The sequence below is a fragment of the Homo sapiens genome, chromosome 21 (genome assembly GCF_000001405.40).
Source record: "Homo sapiens chromosome 21, GRCh38.p14 Primary Assembly".
NCBI lineage: Eukaryota > Metazoa > Chordata > Mammalia > Primates > Hominidae > Homo > Homo sapiens.
The window spans coordinates 45308736-45320502 of NC_000021.9; the positions used below are offsets into that span (position 1 = coordinate 45308736).

Below are 11767 nucleotides of genomic sequence, written 5' to 3' on the forward strand. Positions count from 1 at the left end.
GCCTGGCAGGCTGGGCTGGGCCTGGCGCTCTGTTCTTCCTGAGCCCAGGCTGCCATCTGCAGACAACTGCTGCCTGCCTGCTGTCTCGTGCCGCTGGGGGGCAGAAAGGGTCCTGTGGCACCGTGGGCAGGGTGGCGGCTGATCCCCTCTTCCCGCAAGGGACCCTTTTCCTGAAGTCCACGGCACTGGTGCCCCCCAGCAGCCTTGGCCCTCCTCCAGCTTAGCCGCCCCTACATCGTGTTTGACCCCTGGAGCCTGTGGATGGGACCCTGTCTAAGAGGGAGTCTTGTGGGTGAGGTGAGGTCAGGCTCTTGAGGCAAGGAGAGGGTCTGGTCTATTGGAGGGGGGACCTAGATGACATCTCAAGGGTCCTTAGGAGAGAGAAGAGAACAGGGCGCAATCCAGCCAAGGGACTCCGGGGCTTCCCAGAGCTGGAGGAGGCAGGAAGGATCCGCCTGGCAGCCCCTGGCGCCCCCTGGAGGGAGGTGGCCCCGTGACACTTTCCTTTCAGACTCCGGCCTCGGACCTGGAGAGCACATTTCTGATGCTGAAAGCACCAAGCTCATGACACTTTGTTACCACAGCCCCAGGACACATGCAGACTCTCACCTTGACCCAAAGGAGCGTATTTTATTCAAATTTCACAAAACTGAGGACTAGGGGACATTCCAGCTGCTCAGAGAAAAGCTCGTCTGACTTATCTGTAGGAAGATGAGTTACCAGTGATGAGTCACGGCTTTTACCATTTCCAAAAATACCTGTTTTTTCCTGAACTTTTAGTTCTCTCTACCCTGATCAGAAAATTAAAAACAAAACAACAACACTTCGTGGACCAGCCCCGACAGCTGCCGTTCTGTTTTCTCCAGGCCAGCGCTGAGCAGAGCCGAGGTGGGGAGACCTGGGCAGTGCCAGGGCTGGCCCTGCTGCTGCTTCCTGGCTTCTGGACGGGGCTTCCTCTTGGCTCAGGGCCGGGGAAGCCCAGCCTCTGAACAAAGTTAGGGTCAATATCTGCATCCCTGCCCTGGCCAGGCACCGCATCTCACATGGGAAAGACCTATTTGTCCTTAAATGGGAGAGGAGACGGAATCCCAGAAGGGGGCAGTGACCCAACTAAGGTCAAAGGGCTGCCCCCGGGAAACCAGCCGCTTCTCATCCCCAAGGCAGCCTGCCCGCCCTGGAGAGCCCGGGATCCCCAGATACTGTCGACGAAAGGGGCAGGGCCTGTGAGCGACGCTGGCCTTAGGCCTGGACTGCAAGGGGTGGCCCTGGCTAGAGATGGGACTGCACACCCTTCCAGGCACCATCCTGGGTAATGGAGACACTCTGGGAACACGTATGTGCACATGCACATGCTTACACACACATGCACACTCATGCAATTACACATGCATACACAGCCATGTGCACACACACATCCATACACACATCCATACACATGAACACACATCCACACACATCCATACACGGGTGCACACACTTGCAGTCACACATGCACACACAGCCATGTGCACACACATCCACACGTGTACACACATGCAAAACATGCATATGCAGTCATGTGCCCACACATGTGCACACACATATACACACATACAAGCCCCCACACACTCAGCATGTCCACAGGTGGAGGTGGGTGGGGAGGGTGTTCTGGGGGAGCTGGGCAGGTGGGGGCAGCTCTAGGATGGCGGTGCCCGAGCTCAGCCCGGCCTCTGCTTCCTAGGTGCCACCCTAAGGACCAAATCCCCAGAAGCCAGGTGAGGACATCGGAGAACCGGGCTGCTCCGTAGCAGACCCATAGACCCTGATGCATGGCTGGGCACCCTGGCCTGTCCCAGAGCCTGCAGAAGGGCGGAAGCCTAGACAAACTCATCCGCTTCTGCTGTCCCAAGATGACTTTCAGCCCAGGTCAGCCCAGGTAAGTCCGTGTCCACCAGCTGCCCGGTCTGCTCTGGAGGCAGAGGCTTGCAGTTCCGGGAGACAGACCCGCCACCTGGCAGAGGTTGTGGGAGGCTTGTCACCGTTGGTTGGCCCCCTGGCACCTGCCTCTCCTCCCAGGGAGCAGGGATGAGTCAGCTCCCTGGCCCTTGGACTTAGGAAGCCTCAGATGGCTCTGAGAAGGCTCCTCCAGGGCTTCAGAGGCACCCTTAGAGGCTTAGAGTCTCCTGAAGATGCGAGATAGGCCTTTGCCCACCAGCCCATCACAGAGCAGTGGCTCATGCCTGTAATCCCAGCAGTTTGGGAGGCTGAGGCGGGCGGATCACCTGAGGTCAGGTGTTCGAGACCAGCCTGACCAACATGGTGAAACCCCATCTCTACTAAAAATACAAAAGTTAGCCAGACATGGTGGCAGGTGCCTGTAATCCCAGCTACTTGGGAGGCTAAAGCAGGAGAATCGCTGGAACTTGGGAGGTGGAGGTTGTAGTGAGCAGAGATCACGCCATTGCACTCCAGCCTGGGCGACAAGAGCAAAACTTCATCTCAAAACAAACAAACAAAAAGGTAGAGGAAGGGAGAATTATCTCTCTGCCTGACTGCTTGAGAGGTGGCACCTTCTCCTGTCCTCCAGCTGGGACTTGAACCCACAGCCCCACTCATGTGCAGGCCTTCAACTCAAACTGGAACCACAACACCGGCTCTCCTAGGTCTCTGGCTTGCAGATGGCAGATCGTGAGGCTTTTCAGCTTCCAAAATCATGTGAGCCAACTCCTCAGAATAAACTTCTCTCTTTCTCTCATGTAACCACACACATATAAACATGCATGTGCGTGTTTTCCTGCCCTCTCATCTCTGCTCCGTTGACTTATTTCGCTATTCCTGCTTCATTTACTCTAGTTTTCTTAGGCATGTCCATTAACGCAGCTTGTCCTTCTTCGCTTTTTAAAATAGACTTTACTTTTTAGGGAAGGTTTAGGTTCACAGTAAAATCAAGCAGGCAGTACAGAGTTCCCATGCACCCTCTGCTCCACCACAAACATGCAGCCTCCCTCACCATCAACACCCACACCAGAGTGGCCCAGGAAAACGTGTACACATGTGTACACACACACACACACACACACACACACACACACAGCATGTCCACAGGTGGAGGTGTGTGGGGAGGATGTTCCGGGCCCAGTGACAGCACGAACACATGAACCCATCCATCCATCCATCCATCCATCCATCCATTCATCCATCCATCCATCCATCCACCAATCCTCTTGGCTCTGCTTCTCTGGAGAGCACTGTGCACACAGATGCACACAGATATCTTCACTTGGTCTTCAACCCCGGAGCACAGGCAGTGCAATGGACTAAAGATAGCCTTTTCAACAAATGGTGCTGGAACAACTGGACATCCACATGCAGAAAAAACAAATGAATCTAGACACAAACCATAAAACCTTCATAAAAATTAACTCACAATTTATCACAGACCTAAATGTCAAATGCAAAACTATAAAACTCCTAGAAGGTATCGCAAGAGAAAATCTAGATGACTTAGGATTTGGTGATGTTTTTAAAGTACAACATCAAAGGCTGATCCATGAAAAAATATCAGTGATAAGCTGGACCTCATTAAAATTAAAACCCTCTGCCCTGCAAAAGACAAAGTCAAAAGAATGGGAAGATGAGCCACAAACTGAAAGAAAGTGTTTGCAAAATACACATCTGATAAAGGACTGTTATCCAAAATATATAAAGAACTCTTAAAACTCAACAGTAAGAAAACAAACAACCCGATTAAAAAATGGGCAAAAGACCTGAACAGACACTTCATTGGAGAAGATGCACAGATGGCAAAGAAGCACATGTAAAGATTGTAAGAAATGCACCTAAAACAACAATGAGATGCCACCACACACCTGTTAGGAAGTCAGATTCCAGAACACTGACCACTGAATGCTGGTGAGGGTGTGGAGCAAAGTTTGGCATTCACTCATCACTGGTGGGAATGCAGAACAGCACAGCTACTTTGGAAGCCAGTTTGCAGTTTCTTACAAAACTAAATGTGTTCTTACTATACATTCTAGCAATTACATTTATTGGCATTTACCCAAAGGAAGTGAACATTTATTTCCATACAATCACCTCCATGCAGATGTTTATAGAAGCTTTATTCATAATTGCCAGAACTTGGAAGCAACCAAGATGTCCTTCAGTAGGTGAAAGGGGTAGGTGGACCGTGGCACACCCAGACAGTGGAATATGATGCAGTGCTAGAAAGAAATGTGCTGTCAAGCAGCCAGGAGAAAACATGCAGGAGCCTTGACTATGTATTACTACGTGAAAGAAGCCATGCAGAGAAGTCTACAGACGGTGTGATTCTAACCATGTGACACTCTGGAAAAGGCAATATCGTGGTCGCCAGCGCTCAGGAAGGAGGGACAGACAGGCAGAGCCCAGGGGATCTTCAGGGCGCAGAACCGCTCTGTGTGGGACTGCAGTGGTGGATCCATGCCATTGCACATCTGTCCAAACCCACGGCATGAAGAGCACCAAGAGCGAGCCCTCGTGTGGACCAGGGTCTTTGGGTGCTGACAATGTGGCCACGCAGGCTCATGGCTTGTAATAAATGGGCCGCTCCGGTGTGGGTGTTGATGGTGAGGGAGGCTGCATGTTTGTGGTGGGGCAGAGGGTGCATGGGAACTCTGTACCGCCTGCTCGATTTTACTGTGAACCTAAACCTTCCCTAAAAAATAAAGTCTATTTAAAAAAAAACTAAGAAGGACAAGCTGCGTTAATAGACATGCATAAGAAAGCGAGAGTAAATGAAGCAGGAATAGAGAAATAAACCAGCGGAGTGGAGTTGAGAGGGCAGGAAAAGTTCCACGCAACTGTGGGAGTCCCATTCGTGATAAGGGCGGTTTCTCAAATGAGGGGTATGCGATGGACTCCCCAGTACATGTGAAGTCAGACCCTCGCAAGACTGAACCAAGAAGAAGTTGAATCCTGAATAGACCAATAACAAGTTCTGAAATTGAGGTAGTAATAAATAGCCATTCCTCCCATTCCTCACTTCATTCCCAAAAACATGTTTCACAGACAGTAAAAGCCTAAACAGGAAGGGAAACTATAAGATATCAGAGGATGGGAGTTCACTCATGATTTGGGTTTCTGCTTATCTGTTGTTGGTGTATAGGAATGCTTGTGATTTCTGCACGTTGATTTTGTGTCCTGAGACTTTGCTAAAGTTGTTTATCAGCTTAAGAAGCTTTTGGGCTGAGACGATAGGGTTTTCTACATACAGGATCATGTCATCTGCAAACAAAGACAATTTGACTTCCTCTCTTCCTATTTGAAACCCTTTATTTCTTTTTCTCGCCTGATTGCCCTGGAGTCAGAACTTCCAACACTATGTTGGGAAAGAGTGGTGAGAGAGGGCATCCCTGTCTTGTGCTGGTTTTCAATGGGAATGCTTCCAGCTTTTGCCCATTCAGTATGATATTGCCCATGGGTTTGTCATAAATGGCTCTTACTATTTCAAGGTATGTTCCTTTAATACCTAGTTTATTGAGAGTTTTTAACACGAAGGGTGTTGAATTTTATGAAAGGCCCTTTCTGCATCTATTGAGATAATCATGTGGTTTTTGTCATTGGTTCTGTTTATGTGATGGATTACGTTTATTGACTTGTGTATGTTGAACCAGCCTTGCATCCCAGGGATGAAGCTGACTTGATCGTGGTGGATAAGCTTTTTGATGTGCTGCTGGATTTGGTTCGCCTGTGTTTTATAGAGGATTTTCACATTGGTGTTCATCAGGGATATTGGCCTGAAGTTTTCTTTTTTGTTGTTGTGTCTCTGCCAGGTTTTGCTATCAGGATGATGCTGGTCTCATAAAATGAGTTAGGGAGGAGTCTCTCCTTTTCAATTATTTGGAATAGTTTCAGAAGAAACGGTACCAGCTCGTCTTCATACTTCTGATAGAATTCAGCTGTAAATCCATCTGGACCTGGGCTTTTTTAGGTTGGCAGGCCATTTATTACTGCCTCAATTTTAGAACTTGTTATTGGTCTATTCAGGGATTCAACTTCTTGGTTCAGTCTTGGGAGGATGTATGTGCCCAGGAATTTATCCATTTCTTCTAGATTTTCCAGTTTATTTGCATAGAGTTCAAAATAACTATGAATACAGCTAACAAGGGAAGTGAAGGACCTGTTCAAGGAGAACTACAAACTGCTGCTCAAGGAAACCAGAGAGGACACAAGCAGATGGAAAAACATTCCACGCTCATGGATAGAAAGAATCAATGTTATGAAAATGGCCATACTGCTCAAAGCAATTTATAGATTCAATGCTATTCCCATTAAACTACCATTGACATTCTTCACAGAATTAGAAAAAACTATTTAAAAATCCATACGGAACCAAAAAAGAGCTCTCATAGCTAAGACAATCTTAAGCAAAAATAACAAAGCTGGAGGCATCATGCTACCTGACTTCAAAATATACTACAAGGCCACAGTAACCAAAACAGCATGGTACTGGTACAAAAACAGACACATAGACCAATGGAACAGAATAGAGAACTCAGAAATAACACCATATGTCTACAACCATCTGGTCTTCGACAAGCCAAACAAAAACACGCAATGGGGAAAGGATTTCCTAGTTAATAAATGGTGCTGGGAGAACTGGCTAGCCATATGCAGAAAATTGAAACTGGACACCTTCCTTACACCTTATGCAAAAATTAACTCAAAGTGGATTAAAGCCTTAAATGTAAAACCCAAAACTATAAAAACCCTAGAAGAAAATCTAGGCAATGCCATTCAGGACATGGGCACAGGCAAAGATTTTATGATGAAAATGCCAAAAGCAATGGCAACAAAAGCAAAAACTGACAAATGGGATCTAAATAAACTAAAGAGCTTCTGCACAGCAAACGAAACTATCATTAGAGTGAACAGACAACCTACAGAATGGGAGAACATTTTTTGCAATCTGTTTGTCTGACAAAGGTTTAACACTTAGAATCTACAAGGAACTTAAGCAAATTTACAAGAGAAAAACAAACAACCCCATTAAAAAGTGCACAAAGGATATGAACAGACACTTCTCAAAAAAAGACATACATGCAGCCAACAAATGCATGAAAAAAGGCTTAACATCGCTGGTCATTAGAGAAATGCAAATCAAAACCACAATGAGTTCTCATGCCAGTCAGAATGGTAATTATGAAAAAGTCAGGAAACAGCACATGCTGGCAAGGCTGTGGAGAAATAGGAACACTTTTACACTGCCGGTGGGAATGTAAATTAGTTCAACCATTGTGGAAGACAGTGTGGTGATTCCTCCAAGATTGAGAACCAGAAATACCATTTGAGAAGCTATCCCATAACTGGGTATATACCCAAAGGAATATAAATTATTATAAAGATACATGCACACGTATGTTCACTGCAGCACTATTCACAATAGCAAAGACATGGAATCAACCCAAATGCCCATCAGTGATAGACTGGATAAAGAAAATGTGGTACATATAGACCATGGAATACTATGCAGCTATAAAAAGGAACGAGATCACGTCCTTTGCAGGGACATGGATGAAGCTGAAAGCCATTATCCTCTGCAAACTAACAAAGGAACAGAAAACCAAACACCGCATGTTCACTTATAAGTGGGAGCTGAACAATGAAAACATACGGACACAGGGTGGAGAACAACACACACCAGGTCCTGTTGGGGGAGGGTGGGGGTGGAGAGCATTAGGGAAAAGAGCTAATGTGTGCTGGGCTTCATACCTAGGTGATGGGTTGATAGGTGCGGCAAACCACCATGGGACATGTTTACCCATGTAACACACCTGCACATATACACCGGAACTTAAAAAGATATTAGAGGAGAACACGGACCTTAGAATAGCAACTCTCCCAAACAAAGACGCAGCCCCACGTGGAGCAGAGGAGGAGAAGATAAAGTGGACTGCAGCAGAAGCTAACACAACTTTATCACCAAAGACCCCAGAAACCAAGTCAGAAGGCCAGTGGTGGACATGGGAATGATAGATGCTAAAGAATGCTCAGCTTATAGTAGCCAGAGAAAATCCTGGCAAAGGTGGAAAGTGTGAAGGCACCAGGCATCAGTGGCACGCGAGTGTGATCTCCGGAGGCGGGGGAGGTGGGGGAGGCCGGGGCGTGAGGGGCTGTGGTTATCAAAGGGAACCGGCTCTCTTAGGGGGGCTCTTTTACTTTCTCTGTTACTCAGAGCAGGGACCAGCCAGCTCTGTCGAGGCCTGGAAAGTAATGGATTTAAGCTTTGCGGCCACATGGTCCGTGCACCCACTCTGCTCTGTCCATGTTTTTCTTTGTATTTTTCTCCAAGCATTTAAACACGTGCAAACCATCCTTAGCCCAAATGCAGCCAAAAGCTCCTGTGGGTGGAGTTTACTGTCTTACGCCCGGGAGCGGCTCAAAGTGTGCCCCAACCAGCAGCCTGGGCACCCTTGGTGCTGTAGGAATGCAGGTGCCCTGGCCCACCCGGACCCTGGTGTGGGGGGGGGGCCCACCCAGGCCTCTAAGAAGCCGTCTAAGGGTGCCGCCCAGGTCTTTGAGAAGGGCAGCCTTGGCCAAATGGTCATACCTGTACACGGGCCGGGCCGCACGACTTCTTTAGAGCTGGGGCCAATGGAAGCCCCCTGAGTGCTCCTCAACAGGGGCCTGGAACCCCGGCTCTTGTTAAAATGCAGATTCTGACTCAGCAGGTCTGGGCTGGAGCCTGGGACTCTGCATTTCTACCCAGCGCCCAGGGGTGCCCAGGCTGCTTCTGGGACCTCACTTCCTGGCCGTGGTACCTTCACAGCACCAGCCACTAGCGTGGAACTTGCACTGCAGCTTCCGACAGCTGCAGAAATGGGCATGTAGGTGGGGTGGGGGCTGGGACCTGAGCTTGTTGTCTGTCCCTCCCTTTCTCACTGGGGCATTGAGGACACACATGAAAGAGGCGAGGGGGCGAGAAACAATGCTGGCATCTCCATCCTGGGAAGAGGCTGGGAAGAGTGACTCAGTCACAAAAAATAAACAACACCAGCTTTTGTCTTAGAAATTCACCCTGTTTGACTTCATGGATTCCCATCGGTCTGCAAGGACCCGGGTTAGCCTGGGATCCTCTTCTGTGGCTTTGGTGAGCAGATCCCCACTCCGCCTCCTCTTAGGACGCCTAGTCCTGCCGTGATTGGCCTTGGGGGCCCGGGGGTGACCTCAAGTGTCCCCAGCCAGGCCGCCCACCCCAATCTCAAGAAGAAACAGGGTGGGAGGAAGCAGGGCAATCTCAGCACCCATGGCAGAGGAGGCCACGGTGGAGGAGGCCACGCCTGGCTCAGCCTGGAGTTGGGGACGTGAGGAGGGGCTGAGACGGTCACCCCAAGACCCCCACTTCAGGCCAGCTCAGAGGGTCCAGGGTGGGGGTACTTGGGAGAAGGCTTGTGAGGGGGTCCCTGTGGCCTTCAGGGAATCCCACCCCATTTGGATGTTACCTCCAGGCTGGTCCTAGGGGCTGGGCACCCACAGGCCAGAGGCCAAGGAACCAGGAAGTGCCCCCCGACATGCGCTTGGGGAGCCCCAAGCTCCTCCACTCATGAAAAATCGAACCCCCCCACCACCTCCAGGTCAGTCACCGTCTCCAGGACGTGGGTGGCTGCCCCCACTCCTCTGGCCCCCACTTCTCTGGCTGAGAAACTCCACGTGCACCACCCCAGGGGCTTCAGGCTCCTCCAGAGGGGCTCCATTCCCCTTCCTGCCCCGTCCCCTGATGTTCCTTCCCCACCAAGCCCTGGGCCATCTTCCCACAGCCTGGGACTAGCCTTCTGGTCACCTGCAGTGGCTGCCAGGTGGGCTGGGGTGGGGGCTGTCCCTGGGTGCCCAGGCCTCTCGGGGACCCCTGCATGCACTGGGCATGACATGGAGGGTGCCTTTCCCCACCCAGGGCCCAATGAACCTGGAGGTCACAGCCCCGACCCCGGCCCAGCTCCAGGGTGAGGCCGGGCCCCTCTGGAGCCCCACTCTGGCCTCCTCTCCTGCCCCCACCCCCATCCTGCCCCTTCCTGCCCTGGCCCTGTGTCTATCTGCTCTGCAGGCCGTGCTCTGGGAGCCTTGAGGCCCTGCGTCCACCCCCTGGCAGTTCTTCTAGGCTGGGCTCCAGGATTGGGGCCTGTTACCTGGAGGTGGACTGGCCTCCCTGCTGTCAGGCAGGGCCATTGGGATGGGCGTGGTCACAACTGCTGCAGACCTGGGTCTGGGAGGACAAGCGCCTTCCTTCCCAGCGGCGAGGTTTTCCATGACTCACTTCAGAGCCAGGCCAAGGTCAAAGGGCACCGGACGCCGGTCCCTCCTCAGGCAGAGGGAGACAGGAAGGGACACCCAGGCCCCAAGGGGGAAGGGCTGCTGCAGTCGGGACAGGGAGCATGTGTGAGCGTGAGTGAGGGCGTGAGGCCTGTGTGCAGGCAGCAGGTCAGGTGGACAGGCCGGAGGAATGGCCCTGACTCCACAGGGACCCCACCAGACAGCTGATTGGCAATGCCGAGAGATGCTGTGCTGCTGGTCCTTCCTGCAGGGTCGTGGAGGAGCTCGGCCACTTGTGAAGCTGGACGGGAGAGGACAGTGGTGGCAGCCAGACCGGACTCACATGTATTCCATCAACACAGTTGAAATGTTTTATGACCGCATGGCAGTATGTTCGGGTGAGGGTCCTGTATGTTTTACACGACACATGTTTAAACGGCATTCTGTGAGCCCAGAGGCTTTGCCTGCCGGCCAGCAAGGTGCAGTAGAAAAGGTTGAGGGTCCTAGTCTGGTCCCGTGTGGGCACTGCCTGACCAGGTGGGGTCAGCACCAGGATGAGAGCCCCAGCCTGCACCTGCCAGCCGCGGTGCCACGTCCTTCCTCCACTTCCCTTCCCGCAGCCCTGGGAAACCCCAGCCCAGTGGGCTGGCAGGAAGGAGGCCGGTGTGCATGTGCCTGACTGGCCCCTGGTTGGCGCCAGGCACTCTCTGCAGGACCCTGGCGCCAGCCCGTCGGAAGACAAAGCCTGGAGGCTATTCTTGGAGCATGTGTCACAACCCCAGGAGCGCCTTATAAGGCTCTGTCCAGGCTCAAGATGCTCTCTGAGCGCCAGGGTCTGCCCTGACAATGGCCTGCAGCTGGACGTGGGGCCACACGGCCACCTGGCTGCTCCTGGCCCGTTTCGCCCTGGGGTCCAGACTCCCTCCTGTTTCCTGTGAGTCTCCCCTAAGATTTGAAGGAATTTGACCAACACCTTGGCCTGGGGGGACCTGGGAGAGAAGAGGGGGATGGAGCTCAGAGCTGGCCCTCGGCAGCCTTACATGGTGATCGTCTGGTCCCGCTAAGCCGCGCCTTGGAGGCTCTGCTGTGGGAGCCTAGCAAGTGTTTATTTTTAGAAGCTCTTACTCCAACACCAGGGCTGGGCCCAAATAACACATGTATTTTAGTGGTTCAAAAATACAAGTTTATGGTAAGTCATTCGATGTGGAGAAAGTGCCAAACCAGTGAGTGCAGTGAGAGGTTTCCTGGGGCCACGGGCCTCCTCCTGCAGGTGGCCCAGGTGCACTTGACTAGCTGGAGCGTGTGGCTATAATCCCAGGAAATGTATCCCTCCTCTCGGAGGGACTCGGGCTCAGGAGCACACACTGAAGATGGGAGGCCAGGACCCAGAGTGTGACCGTCCTGGCCCTAGGAGGGCAGGGCAGCCTTTGGTTTGCTATCAGAGCCTCGAGGCCTGGCACTGAGCCCGGCGTCCCCTGGAGCTCCCTGCTGCATTGGATCA

General features: G+C 51.5%; 2 annotated features.

Moving 5' to 3' along the window:
- Window positions 9789-10632: an enhancer, noted in NCBI's record as "H3K4me1 hESC enhancer chr21:46738439-46739282 (GRCh37/hg19 assembly coordinates)". NCBI's record gives its function as "activates a minimal SCP1, AML or CMV promoter by ChIP-STARR-seq in primed H9 embryonic stem cells {active_cell/tissue: H9 hESC(primed)}" and the evidence as "EXISTENCE:reporter gene assay evidence [ECO:0000049][PMID:30033119]".
- Window positions 10633-11474: an enhancer, noted in NCBI's record as "H3K4me1 hESC enhancer chr21:46739283-46740124 (GRCh37/hg19 assembly coordinates)". NCBI's record gives its function as "activates a minimal SCP1, AML or CMV promoter by ChIP-STARR-seq in primed H9 embryonic stem cells {active_cell/tissue: H9 hESC(primed)}" and the evidence as "EXISTENCE:reporter gene assay evidence [ECO:0000049][PMID:30033119]".